Source organism: Homo sapiens, chromosome 1, assembly GCF_000001405.40.
Source record: "Homo sapiens chromosome 1, GRCh38.p14 Primary Assembly".
NCBI classification, from domain to species: domain Eukaryota; kingdom Metazoa; phylum Chordata; class Mammalia; order Primates; family Hominidae; genus Homo; species Homo sapiens.
This window is the reverse complement of record NC_000001.11, coordinates 81,314,793-81,338,440: the sequence shown is the minus strand read 5'-3', so window position 1 is coordinate 81,338,440 and position 23,648 is coordinate 81,314,793. Positions and strand designations below refer to the sequence as shown.

Genomic DNA, 23,648 nt, shown 5'->3' with positions numbered 1-23,648 from the left:
TACCAAGAAAATGTTAACTGCCTGTATATTAAGAGTAGTTTTTTGTTTTGTTTTGTGTTTTGTTTTGTTTTGTTTTTTGAGTCACAGTCTTGCTCTGTCGCCCAGGCTGGAGTGCAGTGGCGCCATCTTGGCTCACTGCAACTTCTGCCTCCCGGGTTTAAGAGATTCTTGGGCCTTAGCCTCCCCGGTAGCTGGAATTACAAGCTGGCACCACAGAGTCCAGCTAATTTTTGTATTTTTAGTAAAGACAGGATTTTGCCATGTTGTCCAGGCTGGTCGCGAACTTCTGACCTCAGGTGATCTGCCACCCTAGGCCTCCCAACGTGCTGGGATTACAGGTGTGAGCCACTGCGTTGGGCCAAGAGTAGTCTGAATTGTAGTAAGTCAATACCACTTTTAGCTTAGACAATTTCTAAAATAATTGTATAAAACAAATATATATATTACTGTTCTACTTAGAGAAGGTTATTGGAAAAAATGGGAATTGAAATTTGAGTGTAATATTTTTCTGACCTAAAGACTCTGACCCTATTTGTACCCCTATTTTCAAATTATTTGACTGAAGGCTTCAGCAAATTCACAGAATTCAAAGTGCACTTAACAGAACCTCAAAGGGCTGGAACTGGTTAGTTGATACAATCCAATGCTTAAGAATTACTGAAAAAAAGAGTCTGCCAGGGTGTAAGATAAATGGCAACTCTCTTTAGCAATTTTTTGGTTGTCTACAAATCCTGTAGACCAATGGAGGTCTTCAAAAAATGTAGATCTGGACAGTGAGATTAACTTGGTGATGAACTTGAAAGAAGACCATATATTAGCAACCATGAAAACACAGGGAAGACTTGGTCTTCTTTAACATAAAGCAAATGATGATTTCTCTGAGAGCTCTCATAATGCTAGAATTGAAACAGGAAATTTTTGTCTGATGCTTTCACGGTCTTCATGAAGGGGATGGCTTGTTTACTCAGCCCACAGCTCTCAATCCTTCATGGGACAGGGAGCACGAAGGTGAGCGAGTGCAGGGTCTGGGATGAGCGCTTCGGGGCACCAGCAGGAGCAGGACTCTGTGCCGCACCACAGCAGCATCTAGGGGGATACCCACAACCCCTGGAGCCCCAGAGGGTGTGTGTTCCAGTGCGCTCTTTTAGCTTTGTCATCCGTGAATGTCTTACGCGTTTAACAGCTCAGTGTGACAGCCCCCTGTATCCCAAGCTCTTGTTCGGCATCTAGGAAGAATCAGGTTGCACAAGCAAATTGAAGATGATAAATGCCAGGAATTTTAGTGCTGTTGGAAGGTGGGAAGGGATGGAGAGCTGGAAAGGGGATGGAGTGGGAAGCTAGTCTTCCCCTGGAAATCGACTATCCCCAGCTGAACTCTTCTTTGAGGTCCCACTGTCAAGCTGTCCCTGTGAAGTCAAGGCTGCTTCTCGCTGATGTCAAGCTCCTTCTTCTCTTCTTTCCTTCTCTGCTGCTCCTCGCTGATGTCAAGCTCCTTCTTCTCTTCTTTCCTTCTCTGCTGCTCCTCTGCCAGTGGAGCCTGGGGTTTTCATGGGTACAAGATGGGAGACAGGGCAGGCCAGGGTGGTTTTTGAAAAGGTAACATTCGAGTGGGAAAACGGGGAGGTAAAGTTCTCACTTTGGGCCACTTGTCCAGGCTCGAGGGTGGGGCCCTCACCGGGGACTGCCCTCTTCTACCCAGTATTTCCCTGCCTCCTGTCCATATCAGAATTACACATGAAAAAGTTTATGAACTCTTTCCAGAGGAGGATTAGGCCATCCAGACACCCCAGCTGAGTCAGAGTGCTCTCCCTGCTCCTTTGGATTATGGTATCAACTAGAAACTTTGTGCACTGACAGCCATACATATATAGGTCTAGTGCACTTCACATTGGCGATCCTCAGGGACCTGGGCAATCAGCACAAGAATATTACAAGTGCAATTAAGAAACAGTCCTAACTCAGATGGAAGATCAAGGAAATGGACACAGTTAACTGGCTCCACCAAGACTTACAGTCTCACTTGGTTCTGTACCTGGCTAATATTTGAAACTAGAAAACTATTCCTCATCAACATGAGTGAAATAGAGGGTTAAAATGGGCTACTGTGGAAGCATTCCCTTTTCTAATCCTTGATTAGTATCACAATCAGTCGCATTCATACTTTTATCAGTATATTTAGAAAAAGAAGCATTATTATAGCTTGCACAAAAGGTTTCCAGAAATCCTGTTCAGAGTGGTGCAGGCAAAGAAGGGAGGTGAAACATATCTGGAAGTGGCAGGCTGGCATAGTAGAGGAGAATCTCCGACAAGGCCACTGAACGTTAATCAGGAATGAGAAGAATGGTAAGTGAAGGCCATCACAATGGGTGTCTGATAATAATCTCCCTTGTCTTACAAACAGCTACACTTAAAGCAGCCTTGCACTTAAAACAGGGAATTGCTGAAGAGAAGGAAGTGTTAGGAAATTTTTGGAATCTAGATTCCAGCTAATGGTGCTATTGATTGAAGTAGAAATTTTCCACTAAGCACTGCAAGGGTTGGTAAACTCCATGAAGGAAAGATAGTGCTTTTTTGTTTGTTTTTTGTTTTTTGTTTTTTTTTTTTTTAAACACTATATAGCCCTACTGCGTGGTACACAGGAGTCTGGCTATCAGTAGGATTTAATACGTGTAGAATAACTAAAGGAAGGGATGAATCTCCAAATCAGTGAAAACTGACAGATGGTGAAAGAAATGCATACATTATGTTCCTCCTTCCAAGACTGATTTAGATATTAGGGAAAATGGAGTTGTGGGGAATGTTTGAGGGGCAGTTGGAATCATACATGGAAATTATGTTTAATCCTGTATTTGTTCATCTGTACTCTGAAAAGGGTTAGTTCTTTTGTGAATGCATATTTTATTTCTCACACTAAATTATGTGTTTTTGTGAACAAGAATCACAGTTTTGGTTTGGGGGTGAGGGTTTGGCTTGTGTAGACTTCATTTCAATATTTTGTATGTGTAAATAACTAATGAATGAAAATAGTGTAGTACATTGGAAAGACACTGGACCGAGTCAGAAATTATTGATTTAAGATACAGCTCTGGCAATATGATTTTAAATTAATTGCACATTCTGAGCTTTCCAATTTCATCTGTAAAATGGTGTAATGATATTCAACAGGATATTTTTGTGTGTATGTGTGGGGATTAGGTGAAATACTTCACAAAAAGTATTTTTAACTGCAGAAGCATATGCAAATATTAAAAAACACATATTTATCTTGTTATTATAAGATGATTCATAAGGCCTTGGAAGAATTATAAGATTCAAACACATTTGGTTTTATATTTTGGCTTTTTCATAGATACAACCTTGGGCAAGTTACCTAACTTCATTATTAAAAGGAGGAATTTGTGATGGTTAGTTTCAGGTAAGGAAGGCTCATTTTTGGTAATAGAAAATATACTGCAACAAAGGAACATGTGAAGCCCTTGACATAGCCCACTGTATTTAATCAACACCAAAGACACCTTTACACCTTTATTTCTTTTTTCCTGAAAACACTTTTCCCTGCTCTTCAGCTTCTGCTGTCCTTCAAATATCTATCCTGTGAGGATTCTTAGTGTCCCTGACTGGCAACTAATTCCTCTAAGGTACTGACTGATAATCAATGTGTGATAATGACTTCAGGCAGAGGTGAGCAACTACTTTTTACAAGTGCCAATTCTGAGAAAATAAAAGTGTTAATAGGTCATACACAAGGAAAGAATATAGTAAAAGTTACCAGAAATCTCACTACTCATAGGCAGCCCTGTGTAAATGTTAACAAACCATTTTCATTGCTTTTTGTTTTCTGTTTTATTAAGGCCTTTGAAGAAATATGTATTTATGTAACGTCAATTTTAATGCCTAGAAAATCATAACTGTAAAATTGGCATTTTTAAAGCCACTAAAATGGTAATATCCTGATATATTTGGGAAAGTTGCAACACAGAAATCATTTTCTAACCTTTCATCTTGAAATTGGAAAAATGTTTAAAAGAAATGAAACTAATATGACAGGAAGACTGGATCATAGGTTATAATGGTAGTTAATAATATCTAACCCTTTTGAGAGTTTGTTTATCTGAAAAAATGTAATATACACATTATTGAATTTATGTTCACATGATGGCCAAGATGTAAGTATCGTTTTTATAGAAGAGGAACCAAGATATGGGGAAGATGAGCAACCTATGTAGGCTCACAGCTGGCAAGTGGTAGAACCAGATGAAACACAGTCTAGCTGGTTTCAGAGCTTGTGCTATTAACCATTATGCTATTCTAAAACTATCAGGAAAAGTCCTGTGTTGGTCTATTTGAACTGCTGTAACAAAATGCCATAAACTGGATTATTTGTTTTATTTCTTAAAGTTATGGAGGTTAGGAAGTCTAAGATCAAGTTTCCAGCAGATTTGAAAGGTACCAGGCTGAGATTGAGAGCAAACTCTTATCAAAGTAAATTGAATGAAGTTACCAATAATGCATTTTATATTCTTCTAGGGACCATACTCTTGTCAATATCATCACCACTACAACCATGCCACCACCACTGCATCATAGCAATCTCATTACAGTAATAATTGTGGACTCCCACAGAACACTATAACTTTCCATTACATTTGGAAGTAAGGAATTTTTTTTTTTTTTTTTTGCTTAGGGAACCCCCCAGCTCTGAAAGGCTAAAAAGAAAGTCAAGGAGGCCAGGTTCTGTGGCTCATGCCTGTAATCCCAGCACTTTGGGAGGCCAAGGTGGGTGGATCACAAGGTCAAGAGTTCAAGACCAGCCTGGCCAAGATGGTGAAACACCTGTCTCTACTAAAAATACAAAAAATTATCCAGGCGCAGTGGCAGGTGCCTGTAATCCCAGCTATTCAGGAGGCTGAGGTAGGAGAATCACTTGAACTTGGAGGGCAGAGGTTGCTGTGAGCCAAGATGGTGCCACTGCACTCCAGCCTGGGCGATAGAGTGAGACTCCGTCTCAAAAAATAAATAAATAAATAAATTAATTAATTAATTAATTAAAAAGTCAAGGAGGTGCCCAGCATAAATGCAGCTAAAGGGCTATGTCCTCTGGTTGGATGCTTTGACTCTAATAAGGTACCATAAAAGGTGTCTCCGGTAATTCTACATTTTTTTCAGTCCACTTTCTCTAAGTAGGAGAGCAGATTTAGGATAGAAGCCCAGGTCGGCAATAAAAAGTCCAGATCCGGGTATTTCTCTTTGGGTCCCTCTGTGTAGTGGTTACACTCTGGTAGATGCTAAGGAAAGCCTTAACATAAACACCTTTTAAATGATTTATTCCAATAGCCTCACTTTACAACATGGTGAACCACATCTACAAGGTCTAGAGAGGTTTCATGATTTGCCCAAAGTTATACGACCAGATGGTGGTACAGCTTATTTCAGAAACGAGTTTCCTAATTCCCAGGTCGCTGAACTTCCTAGTGTATAAACTTTAAACTCATCTCAGTGTAAAATATCACAGTCTTATTATGATACATTTTTGTCCAAGGGGAAAAAATAAAACAAAGGTAAAGAAAAACATATACTTTTAAAACACAAAACAATAACACAAAAACTGAACTCATGCTTTCAAATTTCATATGAAGTTCTACATCCCTCTCTCTTTTTAAAACTTTCTTGCTTTGATGTATTACTGGAGAAAATAAGGTGAAAGGCACATATGTTAGGGGTATTTGGTTCAATTTCGAATAAAAGTATTATCGTTGTACATTTCTATACATGTTTCCTCAGAGGAGTCCAATATTTTGGGTACATTTCAACCTTGTGTAACTTTCAAAGGCCATGTAATCATTCAGGTAATGGCAAACAAGAACATCTACCTGGGATTAAATTGTATTTCCATGAGGAGGTTTGAATTTAATGTTTCCAAAGCTCTTGGAACATAGATACTGCTAAATTTGATTAATATAAATCAATTTGCCCCCATGAGGTACTTACACAACTTGATTGGCATATTAAATATTTTATGAAAATTCTATAAAAGTTCTTATGTTTTTTGATTACCAAGCTCTGCTAAAATATTTCTTTTACTGATCAAATATACTAATAATAAAATAGGAGACTCCAGAATTAAGGGCAGAAATTGTGTTGTCTATCAGAAAAAAAATGAAGTTGTGAGTATATATTCTAGAACCTTGAGTACATATATTTATTTTGATTACTCCTGTGATATTTCTGAATATAAAACTTATGCTGTGATTTACGCTTCAGTGAAAGGCACAGAGTTGGACAAAAAATGTTTTTTTTCTTCTCGTTTCATCTGGAAACCTTCTATCATGACATCTATAGCATAAGCATCCTTGTGAGTTGCAGAATCCATTTGTCACATACAAACGTCAAAATACAACTTGGGCCCATGGAAAGAGTTTGTGTTGTTGTGTGTAAGTAGCTGTAATATTGATTTAACTTGTCCCCTAGGTCAACAGATACAACTTAACTGACATAAGTGACTTAATTTTTTTGTGCTTTCTAAAATTAAACACCTTTGTTTAAGTTATATTCCAATCTGATGTCCAAATAATTGGTTAATTTACCCTAGTTAAAATGCTCTCATATAATCTTCAAGGGTGTGATATTACATTTTACATCATAATGCATACTAAGTACTCACAGTTTTAACTGTTAAAAATATTATTAAATGATCAATAAATCTATGGCATGTAAAATGGCACTGCTAACATGGTAGCTATTTGATTTCTATACTTTGTCAAATATATGTACCTCTTAATTCAATAATCCTTAAAGGCAATGCACATTGTGGTTTCCCACTCACAATACCTGACCTTTCCTTAATGTCAAACATCATTTTCCAGTAGCGAGGGAGTAAAGTTTATTATTTATATATAGCTAATAATTATTTGAGGAAAACAAATATAATACCAAAGCAGTACGACAGTAATCATGCAAAAGATGAGCACTTATTTATTGCTGTATCATGCCTGTGACTTGATATATCATTGTCTATATTTCTACTGCCTGGATGCCATGGTCCCAAAATACAAAGTAAACGTAACATACCCCCAAAGGGTCAAAACTTATCTAATCATTATTTCAGATCCTAAGTAATAACATGAAGTATTTCCAAAACGATCCTCTTTACTTGCAAATGTGAAACCTCTCTCTCTATCATCTTTTGCATTCTTGCATATTTCTTTTTAGTTAGAAAATTTCATACTGTCTGATGTTTAAAAAGCAATTACACACGGTATGAGTATAAGGGAGTAAAGGAATCTAGAAGTGAAAAATTCCCTTTCCATCAGCTTGATGTTTTGGTTTGATGTAGATGTAAAATAAAATACTCATTATCATCAAATATTTATTGAGAGCATTCAATTTACCAGGCACTGTGCCAGGCACTATGGGGCATGCAAATATGTTTAAGACATGGTTCCAGCACTTGTGAAATTTATGATTCAGTCACATATGTACTTATCAGCCAAATTAATCTGTTGTTAAACTTTAAAATGTTAACAGTCATAGTTATTAACATGTGTTCTGTGTTCTTTAAAACATCCGTTGAGCAACGTTCATATTTTCTCAAATGCACCTATCAGGTATCCATAAATGTGGACCTTAAACACTTTTTTGCACTTCTGCCTGGTGCAGATGTCAACCTCCAAAGGTGTGAAACACTTCTTTCCAGGACACAATTAGAATAGATTTGTTGACTGATGCATCTGTTGGCAGCTTGTAGTAATGGTGATTAAGTATGCCATGTGTTAACAGCTTTTGTGTACCTAGATGATAATGCCATGGTATAATAGGAAAGATCCATTAGTTTGGCTGAATTATAAAGATATTCCAGTTTAAAAGAATAATTCCTGACCCAAGGACATACAAATTCTCCAGATAAGTAGCCCCTGAAGCATACTTTGACTCTGATCAAGTAAGATACATTAGATATTTTTGGATTGTAGTTAGAGAAATTAAAGTTTTGTTCTCTGTATGTTCCCCAGCAGTAGAACATTCCCCAAGGAAGTGTGCATACATGTTGATATAGAAATGTGTGACCTTGCTTTTCTTTAATCAGATATGACCTGCAGATGTCATGGGCCAGGCAGTGTATCACATGTGTTTCATTCAGTGACATGTGACAGTTTTAGAAATCTGTTTGAATTAATCCTCATTGGGTCAGTATTTGAGATTATCTTCTGACCCCATTTTTCTATAAAACATCAACATATTTCAGGTACTTTTGGTCATCCTCATCATGATGATGAGATGCTAACCATGGTGAGGAAAACTCATATTTTAATAGACATTAATCTTGTGATGTTCTAGTTTATTAGCATATGGCAAATACCAGCTAGAAATGAAAAAGCCTCTTGGATGACCGAAAATACTGCCATTTACTTAAATGCAATTTAATCAAAATAACAGTTTTCTTTCTATTTCACCTTTACTCAAATTAAAATCTGATCATCAGAAATGTGCAAAGCAAAAGAAGTAAATCTATACCAGCAGAGCTGTCAGAAAATTAATCTATAAAGATTGCAATTTCTAGAGCAATATATTAATGTACTGGTAACGATAATGTTTCAGTTGAGGCAGAATAGGGACATTTTATAGTGTGAAACCAGCAATTTTCCTCTCTGATTCTTTTAAGCTTTGGAAATAACAGTTGCTGAAACCTTAGATGCCTATCATCTCAAAGTTTCACAAGTGAAAAATAAATTGGCATCTAAAAAACAGTTGGTGGTTTGGGCAGTTTTGATATAATCAAATTATTTTAAAATTGTACTTTATATTTAGAGCTTTCTTTTCTAAAGTATGATGCTGCTCAGGCAGACATATGAAGCTAAAAGATCTTAGCTAACAGAATACCCGTTTAGCTTTTAGAGAAATATTTTCATTAGATTTTAGGTCACAGGTCTGCAAAATGAGACACCTCAGAAGCATATTAAGGAGTAAGTTTAGATTGTGGAGCAGAGACTATTAATTGTTCACCTAATATTTATTCTTCTCCTCTTCCTGTGTAGCAGCTTTCCTATATTGTCAGAAACAGCAATATGTCTGTCTACAAAACTGTCTCTCAGCCTCCTTTCAAAATAGGGGTGGATAATGAGACATAAAGATGAGCCTTTGGATTGGTTGGTGGGGTTGGGGGTGGGGTGTTCTGAGAAGAATGCAGTATGATGACTCCACAGGCCCTTACTCCCTTGCCCTTCCTATTGTTTGGAAAAGTGAACATAATGACTGGAGCTTTAGTGCTATCTTGCAAGCACTCACAAAAAATAGAGGCTATGCATGCAGAGTGGCAGAGCAGTTAGACAGTGGGAACATGGATGGCTTATAATCGTGAAAACTCGACTTCTTCTGCATCAGGGAAGAATCCACTAATTGAATTAAGTTACTACTGTTAATTGGGTTTTGCACTAAAAGCAGCTAAACTCTATCCTAAATAAGTTGATAGATTTTTTTTTTTTTGTAGATCATGTAAAATATCCTTTACTGGCTAATAACAAAGGAAATGAAAATCTCTCTTAAACAGTCCAGTTAAAGGGCAGACTATAAAATGATAATTAAGCGCTTCTGTGCCCTTTGATGTTTTGATTCAATTGTGTGTCAAATAGCATTTTTCTGTGTGTAGGAGGAAGAGTGGGGTGGCTAGAGCTAGCTTATTTGTTGCACTAGGTGGATAAAGATACTGGAATTGAGGTGATCCTTACCACAGGGTACTTTAACATAGCTAACTATGTTAAAGTATCTGAACGTTCTCTACAGTCTTCTTTATCTGAGTGGAAAGATGCACTGTTTATCTCAGCTAATAAAATTATCTTTTTAAGGTATGACTCCCAGTAAAGTTCTGTTTCAATATTATGAATTCACTTTATAATAAGTTTTCCAAGATACTATTACTGGGGTAGGGTAGAGACAGAAAAAAGAGACCTAATCAATAAGCTTCTAACCTAGTACTGAGGCTTATATTTTAGGGATGGGGGTTGGCTTGACCTTTACTTTTACAAATGTCTGACATTAAAACAGGTTTTATTTTTAGTGGGTAGCACAATTCGATGTTTCCTGTATGATTTACTGATGGAACTCTTCTGGTGTCAAGGAAGATCTTAAACTATGGTTTCCTCAAAATTCTTCCCTCCAATGAAAATTATAAATTTACTGTTCTCTGGATTAAGATTATAGCCACATACCAACAAACCACTGAGTATGTAGTTGGTAGAAATTCTTCCCTTTTGAAGCTTACTGTAAAGAAATGTTGGCACTCAGTCTCTTCTGAAAGGAAAAAGGTTTGAAATTTGTGGTATCCTGTCAATGCTCCTTATGGCACTTTGAATGAAAGGCAGTGTAGTCGTGTTCTTCTCTGGGACACTACTTTCTAAAAGCCTTTTTGTTTTTTGTTCCCTGAGGTTGTTTCAAAGGCCTGCAGGTTGTTTCAAAGAAGTGATTTTAGCCACCATGGTGCAGGGTCAGCTGGGGGCTGTCAAATGACTTCTGTGGGTTATTCAAATCTAACGCAGAGCAAGATAATAGCTCAAGAAGCAACTAATGGGCCTTGTCCACGGTACTGAGATCATGTATCAGGATGACCTATACGTTTTAAACGGTATTTAGTATTGATTCACAACTCTTCCAAAGTTTAAAAGAGGGCTAAGTTGTATACAAGAGCAAAGTCATAGAACAATGATCATTTAACATACAGAGGGCATGACATTTGATTATATCTAAGCTTCTTCAAATGCCAAGAAGAATCTGAAGAAAGATATTTGATATTGACTTTTTAAAGGTCCACATAGATAAAATTAATAAACCTTATTAAAGTTTATTTTAGGGATATTGATTTTAAAGTAGAAATGCACCCACAAAGAAAGTCCCATGATAAAGGCTAATGTGTAAATTCCTTTAAAACCCATAGTTACTGTAATTATATGGAGCATTTTACAAGCAACCAGGGACTGCTTTGGATAGATGACTGAAATTTAATCAGTTTCTGGCACAGACTGCCTTTCTTTCCACCTCGAATTTCCAAAGCACTATTTCTAGGGCAGACCTGTTCAGATAGTGAACCTTTATTATCACATTTGATCTGTCTTTGAGCACTTTCCAAAGGAAAGGCTTCCGCAGATCTCCTAGAAGATAAAGGAATGGGATGATTTCTCTCAATAGCACATGTCCTTCCTCCCGTCCCATTCCATTCTCAGCAAACTTAATTCCGCTCTGCAGTCTGGATTTGATAATCACATGGAGCATTATGTATGAAATGCATAAAACATCGATGTGCTAATGTTGCCACCGGAGACTCTCAGATAAAGAAGGAGGCATATCCTTTTGTACTCTTAGGACATAAGTGTATGTCCTGAACCTCTTTAAAAAACAACTCATTTCATTTCTAAGCATTTTGGGCTTTATTTGTATTAAGTGGCTTAGGCCTGCCAGTCCGCTGCAGGGAAATCCGAGTTTGATGTAGTTTTTAAAGCAAAGAGGAACTGGAAAAATAATCACAAATGATGAATGTGAAAATTAAGCTACCTCTAGAGTTTATGTTTTACAAGGATGAAATCGATCAGTTTATCTCCTAGCTGATTTAAAACATATCTGATTATTTCTGACGGTTCAGGATGTAATGGTCTGAAAGTCTAAATAGAATTCTTAGACTTACCTTTATTAAAACCTGAGGAACTGAAGATATAACTGTCTGGATTGATTACAGTATTTCTGCTGTGGAGAAAAATAACAGCCCTGAGTCACTTCTTGTTGTTCACATCTTCATTAATGTGCTTTATATATTTCTGTCCCTAGAGCAAATTAATGTGTTTTTTTCTTCTTTTGTATGTAGTTCACTTAAACTTAGATTCTTTGAACATAGCTGGATTGCCGTGTGACACTGGAGTCCTAGAGATCAATTGATGGTTGTTAAAGATCATGAAGAATGGTCCATTAAAACAGTTAGTATATGACAAATAACAACGTTTGTGTTTAGTGTGGAAATTTATCAACTAGACAGAGCACTTATTACTGAGACCTGAATGAAAGTCTACTTGAACCAACTTATTAATCAGTCACTGCCCTAGTCTTAACAGACGGTCTTATTAAAGAGCTCTAGATATATTAAAATTGAACTCTAATGTGATAGGTACTATTCCTGAGCTACAATCACAAAGCACACAATTATTACTGAAGACTAAAGTCTATGGAAAAGAAAATAAAAGCTTTCTTTATTTCCAGAGGACTGAGAAGCTTTGCCTCAAATCTCTGGCTCAGATTAAGCACAGTATCTATCATGGGATGCTTAGTTGTGTGGCTGATTCTTTCTCCCACTCTCCATATGTAATCACACATCAAGATATGACAAACTTAAACTTTCCACCTGTATATATTTATATAGTCCACACTAAAGAATCTTCCTAAATTTCTAAAGAATTGTTTTTTTGGAAAAATTGAAGCACTACCAATGGGAAAAAAATAATCATTGCTCTGGCTGGCAAGTGGTATGAATGCTTAGTGAGATCCTCTGGGTCTCTGGGCCTAGAATAAATCATCACCATTTCTCATCCTCCATGGAGTTATTGGGGGTAGAGCCCTTCAGTACTGTGAGCCTTGGGGTTGAGCAGGGATGACAACTGAGTTGAATATCATCTCAAATGACTATACGTCTGTGGGTATTGATTGTCTGGGAGTGCTGGGTTGAGAGGGATGCTTGAAGCTAAGTTTAAGCACAACATGAAAGCAAACCATTACAAATTAAAGACGTTTGCATGAGGCAAGTTTAGAGTTATATTGGAAGAGAATTCTTGGCTTCTAACCTCTGTGACTCATTTGGGTGTGGGGCTGGCTGACCTTCATTTACCTGGGAGAGAAAGTGTGCATGTTTTGGTAAATAGCCAATAGCTGCTTGATGCAATCAATTGCCCTTCTGGTAGAAAGGTGTGAGGGACTTGCCCAGTAGCAATCAACAATTAAATGACTTACCAAACACCTGCAGTGACCTACGAGAGAATCTTCTTTGTTTTCTCAATGTCTTAAAACTTTATAGCTGAAATTCAACACAATAGTGTTGAAAAAGACTCCAGTTCAGTGTTACACACAGTGCAGACATCTTTTAAATACAGGTCGGGTAGACTTCTGACTCTGCCAGAAGAGGTACTGTGAGGGGAAACTTACCCTCTTCTAAGGCAGGTTTCTGGACAGTCTAGTTTTTTAAAAACAGTTCTTTCGTGGACTGGGTTGAAGTGCACCTCTGTGTAAACTTGACATTTGTGGCTGTGGATCTGCTCTTCTACAGAACACAAAGCAATTCTGGTCTCTTCTAGTGGACAATTTACTAAATATTCACTCAAATAATATAAAAATAGTCTATCTGGTTTCTCAAATGTACTATGGCCAAAACAAGGCTTTTAAACCTCTGGTTTAAAGTTTCCGGCTGGGCCTGGTGGCTCATGACTGTAATCCCAGCACTTTGGGAGGTCGGGGTGGGTGGATCACCTGAGGCCAGGAGTTCGAGACCAGCCTAGCCAACACTGTAAAACCCCGTCTCTACTAAAAGTACAAAAATTAGCTGGGTGTGGTGGTGGGCGCCTGCAATCCCAGCTACCTGGGAGACTGAAGCAGGGGAATCGCTTGAACCTGGGAGGCAGAGGTTGCAGTGAGCCGAGATTGAGACACTGCTTTCTAACTTAAGTGACAGGAAAACACTCTGCCTCAAAAAAAAAGTTTCCTCACCTCCCCCTTAGCTCAGGGAGGTTACTCAGACCAGAAAAAGTGGGTCTTGCTTGACATATTACTTTCTTTTCCAATCCATCATCAAATTCTCTTGATACTACTTCCAAAGTGTGTGTGTGTATATATAATTTTTAACATATATAATTTATATATAACTTTTTAATATATAATTTTAAAAATATTATATAGATAGATTTTTTTTTTTTTGAGACAGGGTCTCATTCTGTCACTCAGGCTAGAGTTCAGTAGCGCAATCATGGCTCACTTCAGCCTCGACTTCTCGGGCTCAAACCATCCTCCTGCCTCAGCTTTCCGAATAGCTGGGACTACAGGCACATGCCACCATGCCCAGCTGATTTTTGTATTTTTTTTTTTGTAGAGACAGGGTTTTGCCATATTGCCTGGGCTGCTCTTGAACTCCTGGGCTCAAGTGATTTCCCTGCCTTGGCCTCCCAAAATGCTGGAATTGCAGGTGTGAGCTACTGTGTCCAGCCCTAAAAAATATTTTTAATCTCTCTTTCTCATTCAGTCTCCATCTCCTCCGCTTGAAGCCTAATGACCTTCATCTCTGTCTTTCCCACTACAATAGCCTCTTAAAGGGCTCTCACACTACCACTTGCCTCCTTCCAATACATTAGCCAGACAAAACCAGAGGTATCTTTGCAAAAGGGAATCTTCCTGCCTCACTCTGCTTAAATTCTTCGGGAGCTTCTCCTGGCACTTTCAATAGTAGCCTAGCCTGAACGTAGCTTCAAAGAGCTACAACAATCCGGCCTCATTTTCTTCTCACAACATTCTCTCTTGATTCTTTGCGATGCTCCTCTTTTCTGTCCTCTTCTTTGTCCTCAATTTTACCAAGCTCTTTTCTACTTTAAGGGTCTCTTAATTATGAGGTTTGCATATGCTATTCTCATTGCTTGGAATGACCACTCTCCCCATATCCATCTTTATTAATTTGATTTAAATATCACTTCTTCAAAGAAGCCTTCCTTGACTATATGCTCTATTCCAATTAAATCTGATCAGCTTATTTATTTTTTCATTGTAGCTTTTCCTCTTTATCACTATTTGTTATCAAAGGTTTCTTTGTGTGATTATTTAAAGTCTATCTTCTCCTCTTGAATATAAAGTCCATTTACAAAATGATAAAACACCAATTTCTTGGCTGGGTGTAGTGGCTCATGCCTATAACCCCAGCATTTTGGGAGTCTGAGGTAGGAGGATTGTTTGAGTCCAGGAGTTCAAGACCAGCCTGGGTAACATAGTGAGACCCTATTCTCTACAAAAAAAAAAAAAAAAAAAAATTGAATTAGTCTAGTACAATGGCTCGTACCTATGGTCTCAGTTACTCTGGGGTCTAAGGTGGGAGGGTTGCATGAGCCCAGGAGATTTTGGCTGATGAACCTTGATTATACCACCACACTCCAGCCTGGGTGACAGAGCAAGACTTTGCCTCAAATAAAACAAAAAAAACAGAAAAATTTTCTTTTCTATTTTCTGTGTTTATGTTATACATAAGCACAGTGCTTGCCAAAATGGCAATTAATATATGTTTATAGGCCGGGCACGGTGGCTCACACCTGTAATCCCAGCATTTTGGGAGGCCAAGTTGGGTAGATCACTTGAGATCAGGAGTTTCAGACCAGCCTGGGCAACATAGCGAAACCCCGTCTCTACTAAAAATACAAAAATTAGCTGGGTGTGGTGGCACACACATGTAGTCCCAACTATTCAGGGGGCTGAGGCAGGAAAATTGCTTGAACCAAAGAGTGGGAGGTTGCAGTGAGCTGAGATCACCCCACTGCACTCCAGCCTGGGCAACAGAGTGAGGCCGTGTCTCAACAAACAAACAAAAAACATCAAAAGAAAGATATCCATAGTGATCCATATCCATTGTTTATGGTATCTCCCCTTAGTCTTCTTTTTTCTAGGTCAACCACTTGGTTATTTTACTGTTCCCCGTATGACATGGTTTTTAAAACTTTCTTCAGCTTGGCCCCATATTTTTGATATACCGTGTTTTTCAATGTTTTCCCTTAAATGTATAGAACTAATTATAATATGCCAGATGTGATCTAATAATAGGAGAATGTAATGAGATCATTCTTTCCACTGTCCTTTTTACAATGTCTATTAATCTAGCCTAAGGTGGTGGTATTCTTTTTTAGCAGTCCTATCACCACTGGTGCATATTAAACTTATGATTAATTGAAGACCATAAATCTTTTTTCTCCCTAACTAAAGTTCCTTGCTAGAAAACCTCATTTAAAATTGTATATTTCATGTTTTTAACTGATATACATCATTACGCACTTATCACGTCCTGTTACCTTTATTCCTAAGTATCGTATATGGTATCTTTTTAAGGTTTGTTTCATGTGTAATTTGGCTAACCATATTTACTTTGATCACATTCAATGTACAAAAAGCAAGGGCCAAAGGCAGAAATTTGTATTTCACCCCCCAGGTAGGGTCAAAGAATCACATATTTTTGTTTATACAGTGTGTGCGTATATATATATGTATATGTATATGTATATACATGTACATATGTGTGTATGTATATGTATATATATGTACGTGTGTGTGTGTATATATATATGTGTATATATATATATATATATATATGAATTAGTCCTGTACATTTAAGGAAGAACATTGAAAAAAATAGTATGGCAAAAAATATATAAAGAATATGTATTTAAATAAACTTGTTTTTTAAATTTTAGCATTTGCTTTTAAAAATGTTAGTAAGAGTGGTGGTCTAAATAATGTACACATGCCTCATTTTATTGCGCTTTGCAGCTACTGTGTTTTTTTACAAACTGAAGGTTTGTGGCAAACTTTGGTCCAGCAAGTCTATTGGCATCATTTTTTTTTTTCAACAGCATGTAATCACTTCATATCTTTGTGTCACATTTTGGTAATTCTCACAATATTTCACGCTTTTTCATTTTTATTATATCTGTGACAATGATCTGTGATCAGTGATCTTTGATGTGACTATTATAGTTCTTCAGGAACACCATGAGCCACATCCATGTAAGACCGTGAATTTAATTGATAAATGTGTGGGTTCCGACTGCTCTATTGACAGGGTATTCTCCAGTTGCTCATCCACTGGTCTCTCTCCCTCTGCCCTCAACCAGGCCTCCTTATTTTCTAAGTCACAACAATATTGAAATTAAGCCAATTAATAACCATACAATGGCCTCTACGTGAAAGGAAGGGTTGCCTCTAACTTTAAATCAAAAGCTAGAAATGATGAAGCTTAGTGAGAAAGGCATGTTAAAAGCTCAGACATGTTGAGCCATAGGCCTCTTGCACCAGTTAGCCAACTTGGGAATGCAAAGGAAATGTTTTTGAAGGAAATTAAAACTGCTACTCTTGTGAGCACATGAATGGTAAGAAAGCAAAATAGGTTTATTGCTGATATAGTTTTAGTCGTCGGGATAGAAGACCAAAACAGCCTCCAAATTGCCCTAAGTAAACTAAAACCTAATCCATAGCAAGGCCTTAACTCTCTTCAATTTTATAAAGCTTCAGAAGAAAAGTTTGAAACTATCAGAGGTTGGCTTATGAGGTTTATAGAAAGAAGCCATCTCCATAACATAAAACTGCAAGGTGAAGCAAGTGCTGATGTAGAAGCTACAGTAAGTTACCCAGAAGATCTGGCTAAGTTAGTTGATGAAGGTGGCTATGCTAAAAAGATATTCAATGTATTCAAAACAGCCTTATATTGGAAACAGATGCCATCTAGGACTTAACTAGCTAGAGAGGAGAAGTCGATGCTTGGCTTCAAAGCTTCAGAGAACAGGATGACTTTGTTAGAGGCTAAAGCAACTGATGACTTTAAGTTGAAGCCAATGCTCATTTACCACTCTGAAAACATTAGGGCCCTTAAGAATTATGCTAAATCTACTCGAGAATTATGCTAAATCTACTCTGTCTGTGCCCTATAAATGAAATGACAAAGCCTGGATGACAGCATGTCTGCTTACAGCATGGTTTACTGAATATTTTAAGCCCATTATGAAGACCCACTGCTCAGAAAAGAAGCTTTCTTACAAAATATTACTATCATTACAATGTACCTGGTCAGCTGAGAGCTCTGATGAAGATGCACAAAGAAATGAATGTTGTTTTTCTGTCTGCTAACACAACATCCATTCTTCAGCCTATAAATCAAGGAGGAATTTTGACCTTCAAGTCTTATGATCTAAGAAGTACATTTAATAAGGCTATGGCTGCCATAGATAGAGATTCTTCTGAGGGAGTCTGAGCAAATTAATTTGAAAACCTTTTGGCAAGGATTCACCATTCTAGATGCCATTAAGACATTCATGATTCACAGGAGAAGTCAAAATGGCAACATTAACAGGAGTTTGGAAGAAGTTTACTTCTACTGTCATAGATGACTTTGAGGGGTTCAAGACTTCAGTGGAGAAAGTAACTTTAGATGTGGTGGAACTATCAAATTGAACTAACTGGAGCCTGAAGATGTCACTGAATTGCTACAGACTCATGACAAAACTTGAATGGATGAGAAGTTACTTCTTATGGATGAGCAAAGAAATTGGTTTCTTGAGATGGAAACTATTCTTGGTGAAGATGCTGTGGACATTGTTGAAATGACAACAAAGGATTTGGAATATTATGTAAGCTTACTTGATAAAGCAGCAGCAGGGTTTGAGAGGATTGACTCCAATTTTGAAAGAAATTCTACAGGTAAAATGCTATCACACAACATTGTGTGATAGAAATCTTGCATGAAAGGAAAAGTCAATCAATGCAACAAACTTCATTGTTGTCTTATTTTAAGAAATTGCAACAGCCACTGCAACCTTCAGCAACTACCATCCTGATAAGTCAGCAGCCACCAACATCGAGGCAAGACCCTGCACCAGCAAAAAGATTATGACTGCAGAAAGCTCAGATGACTGACCTAGAGGGCTTAGAAGACAATATGGTCCATGGGTCTTATTTTCCTCTACGATTATTGCCTTGTTCTAAGAAGTGAAATTAATGAATGCAATACAAACTCATGATAATTTGACTTACAATTATTTTAGCCTTTATAGAACCATTCACTAGAAACATTCATAATTCCAGTTCCATTCAGAAAACATTTGTTGAGCCCCGCCTCTCTGAGCAGCTTTGTAGAAATGCTGTTCTCAAAGACAGGTTTGACCCATTGGCCTATTGGGATCACTGGGAGAGAAAGGTAGGGAATTCTCTTAGTTTGATGAGAAATCTGCATATTTCACAGCCTTTCTTATCTATGATGCACCCTGTTGAAAAAAAATCTCGGTTTGTATTTAAGATTATGTTGCTTTGTTGTGCCACAGCAGGACATGGAATAGTAGGAAAAATGTTGTTGGATATATTAAAGAAGTATAAATCTGGAATTTGCTTTAAAATTCTTTCAAACAAACAAGTGAGCATCACCATAGAATTGATGGAGGATAAAGCTGGGCGCGGTGGCTCACGCCTGTAATCCCAGCACTTTGGGAGGCCGAGGCAGGTGGATCACTTGAGGTCGGGAGTTCAAGACCAGCCTGACCAACATGGAGAAACCCCGTCTCTACTAAAAAAAAAAAATACAAAATTAGCCGGGGTGGTGGTGCATGCCTGTAATCCCAGCTACTCGGGAGGCTGAGGCAGGAGAATCGCTTGAACCTGGGAGGTGGAGGTTGCGGTGAGCTGGGATCGCTCCATTGCACTCCAGCCTGGGCAACAAGAGTGAAACTCCATCTCAAAAAAAAAAAAAAAAAAAAAAAAAAAAAAGAATTGATGGAGGATGGAGGATAAAATGACTATTACATGCAATGAAAAAATGAAAGTAGAAAAAAGAAGACAGAGATGATTAAAGTAGTTGAAGAAAGGAGTCATTAAGAGAGGTGAGTTTGCTCTTAAGCATCAGCAATGCTGAATTTTATGACTCCAGTAAGAAAAAAACATAAAACAGGATCTCTTTTTATAAAACATTTTTCCAAAATAAATTTAATTTTAAGTTATAGAAATATTATTAGGTATATTTTCCAGATTACTAAAGAAACCCTGGATTCATGCCGTCCCATAACTGCTATTATTACTATCATGGTTACTTTTGCAACTAGTAGTGTATTAGTAATAGTCACCATTTATTCAACTACTTTATGTGCCTATAGGCTGAATTCTTTTAAAATATCATTTCATTTGTCTATGATACAACCATGTAAGATTGCTATTAGTAGATGTCAGTATTGCCCCCATTTTACAGATAAACATGAGGCTTAGGGAATTAAATAACTTGTTTAAGGTCTCACAGCTTCTAAATGGCACAGCCTGACTTTAGACTTCACTTCCTTTTTATGGAATAACAAAGGGGAGTAATATTATCAAAATGCAGAGTTATAAATATTACTCTTAGAAGTGTAACAATTGATGTAAAATGTAATCTTGGCTTCACTGACTAATATCAATCAATAAACTAAACTATTTACTTATTCAGCTGTACAGGTGTATTTTTATAATTTGATACTGTTATTGACCATATTCATAACATAAAATACAGAAATCAGGAAAGCATGAAACAGAAATGACAGTGATTTTATTAAAGGTGTAATGTCTATGTTCTTTAAAGGTGGAGAGTATGTTTTCTATTTTATTGCAAATATAATATTTGGTATATTAAATATAAAGTCAGAGCTTGAAAAATTTAATGATGTAAACATAAAGATGCTTTATTTGGTTATGTGTATGCATTTATGATACAATCACGGAATGTCATCATTAAAATGTATACCTATTGAAACTATGTGCATATGTACACACACACATCTATATACACACAATCATGCCATGTTTCATAAACATATAATTATGTTTTGAAATAACATGTTTCATAGACATATAATTATGTTTTGAAACATATTCAGCTATATAGACATAAATAAATATGCAGACAGACCCCCTACTTACAAATGATTGTTTCAAAAAATTTTAAGAACAGTTATATTTTCAGTCCAGCAACTATGATTTACTTATTTATCCCTCAATTCCTGAGATAGTATTTTAAGTATAATTTAAGATAAACCCTAACACTCTTTACTATACTGTTTCTAGAGACAAACTTGACTTTATTCAACAACAAATCTTAACAGAGGAGTTACTATGTTCCACAAACTATGCAGATGTTAGTGATACAACATACAACTCTCAAAACATTTATAGTCTAGAATGGGATATAGAAAAGTCAGTCAACAGAGCTCAGAGGGATACAGTGGGATGGTAACACCAAGGAATGCCATCGCAATCAGACCAGTCAGTGGCACTTTCCTGAATGAAGTGATGAGTGCCTGGAGAGTTCTGAGGGATGAAAAGCAGTGAGCCAGATGCAGTATGGGATTATGTGGGGTTGAGGGTTGGGGAGAGAGATACAACAGAGTTGAGACAGAGTGAAGAAATACCTCCTTCTGAGCTACAAGAAAGGGTTTTTATCCTTGGTACTACTGACATTTTGGGAAGAATTAGTCATTGTTGTGGGGGTTGTGTTATGTATTCTAGAATGTTTGGCAGCATATGTAGCTTCTACCCCACTAGATGCCCATAGTACCAGTACCTCCCACCCCCAACCCAAATCAAAAATGCCTCTCAAAATTACCAAATGTCACCAGGGAAGCAAAATCATCCCTAGTTGAGAATCACTGTTGTAAAGAAAAAGACAGACAGATAGCATTGGACACTAGGATAACTTCCTAACTTTTCATTGACAAAGAAAGGTCAAATTCCATTTGCGCTTTCCCAACATTGCTCCCTAGATGCCCTAAATCGGGGTGGATGAGAGATAGTCATATATGCTTTTTAATGTATCCTCTAACTACCTGGGATCTGGATGTTTACAATTCAGAGATTGCTTCTTTCTAGGCATGAGTATAGGTACATACACATACATACATACACAGCAAAGACATAAATCAGAATGTCTCTGATTTGGCTATAATATTTAATGATCATCCAGCTTTCATTTCTATATCTTGTCAGCAAAAAATTTTATAAACTTTCCAGAATATAATACATGCCTTCTGTCAGAAATAGGAGTTGAATCAACCTTGCGTATACCATGTTAGTGTATAAATTCCAAGAGTCTCCTTAAAGGGGGAACATCTGTTTAGTGAAGTTTCATTATTTTCCTCTTTAAAGAAAGAATAAGCTATGAAAATGATAAAATATGATTGGCCTAAAACACAATATATCCAACTTTAATCATTTTCTAAATCCAAAGATATTTTTAGATGAAAGCAAAGGAGGTCATTTTCAAATAATTTTGTGAAACTTAAGCCTACCCAGAGGAAAGGTAATTTTGTTTGATCCTGAACATCAAGTGAATTTGTTCACCAAACCATTTATTCCAAAAGGTAATTAAAATAATGTAAAATTGATCCAGTATAGGTTTAACAAAATTAACTAATTATAATCTGCTTAAACCATTTAACCTTTATGGTTCCTTTAAAAGTGTTTGATTTTCTTTGAAAAATAAACAATGTACTTTAAAAAGGTGGTGTCTCCTTGTCTACCTTTCTTCTTTTTTCTTTTTTTTTTTTGTTTTTTTGGTAGATGATCCTATGCTAAGATGCCAATACAACAAATAGAGTAGACAAACAGCTAAGGGAAGAAAGGAAGATTTCCCTTTAAGTCAAGGGCACACATGAGAAGGAAAATATTATAAGATGAGGAAATAAATATGAGTTCTGTTACAGTAAGTATTCATGTCAATGTCTCAGAACTTATGCCAAACTTCCAAGTGAAATGTGTATCAATTATCTTCCTTCAGATATTCAAGTTGACTTATGGACAAAATATATACTGCAACTTAGCATTTGTTTATTTTCAATTGCTTTCCATTTATTCAAGTTACTTTCAGACAGACATATTTTAAAAAGTTCAACAAATCAAAAAAAAAAACTAATTGCCGATCACTAGCTACATTTATTTTGAACTTATCTATTCTAATACTGAGTAGATGTCAAAATTCCAAAGGGTTTGCATGGGCTCTTAGTGTCTGTGAGAGGTAGAAAATAGTGACGTAAGAGAAGAAATGTGCTGTGACAGCTCTATCTTTTAAAAAGAGTGGAAGAACTAGGAGCTACCTCAGGGGAAAAATGGTAGAAGTAACCATAAGCCCTGAGGGACTTTCTAATCCATATCTGTCTATTATTAATTCATTATAATTTACTATTTTATTTTGGAGATAAAATTGTCATTATGTCATTTCTAAACCAAATGACATTATAAAAGACCCCCAGTGGTAAGAGGTATTAACTGAAGTAACTGTCACTGCTACATAGAGTAAAACAAGTTAAACATTGGGAAAAAAGCAATCTGGATGTGATTTTTTTTTTATGGCAAAGAATCAGGTCACCCCTTATACTGAGGTTAATTTGTTGACTCATATTTCCACTTATCCAATGATATTGTATCACATGAACAAATCTCTACCTCTAATCAATTTTTTTATCGAATTGTGACCTTTAATGCACCTTCTTTTTTGATTATGAATGACAGTGACCTTTACGTAATTTAAAGCAGACACTCTGATGCAAAATTATGCAAACTACACATGTAAATTCTGAATCAAACTAAAGATGTGCATAATCTACTGGTGAGAAATTATTTCAGAAGACATTTATATTAAGGCTGAATGAGGTATCTGAGTGTAAGTGAATTAGTCAGCATACAAATGGTTGGTTGGAAGAGTTGCAAAGACCAAATGCTGTTTATATTTTCTCAGCTTCTATTTAGAAAACTGAAATGTCAATATATGTATCAATTTTTATTATTTTACTCAGCATTTTATGGCATTCAGGAAATGATCACAATGTTATAAAGTCAGACAAGATTATTTTTCAGAGGAGTTGGCAAACTGTGCCTGAATATTCAAT

At 36.7% G+C, this 23,648-nt stretch overlaps 1 protein-coding gene across 8 annotated transcripts in view; it reads right to left on the bottom strand.

Annotated features, from left to right (window-relative positions):
• The window catches only part of ADGRL2 (adhesion G protein-coupled receptor L2), a 687,801-nt gene that overhangs the window by 655,492 nt on the left and 8,661 nt on the right, over positions 1 to 23,648 (bottom strand). For 5 of the 8 annotated variants that reach the window (XM_047416152.1, XM_047416118.1, XM_047416159.1 and 2 more), the window contains exon 2: positions 11,666 to 11,724. The exons of the other annotated variants lie outside the window; for them this stretch is intronic. The gene's annotated coding sequence lies outside the window, so the exon portion shown is untranslated. The remainder of the gene's footprint in view (positions 1 to 11,665; positions 11,725 to 23,648) is intronic. 8 annotated transcript variants of the gene reach the window in all.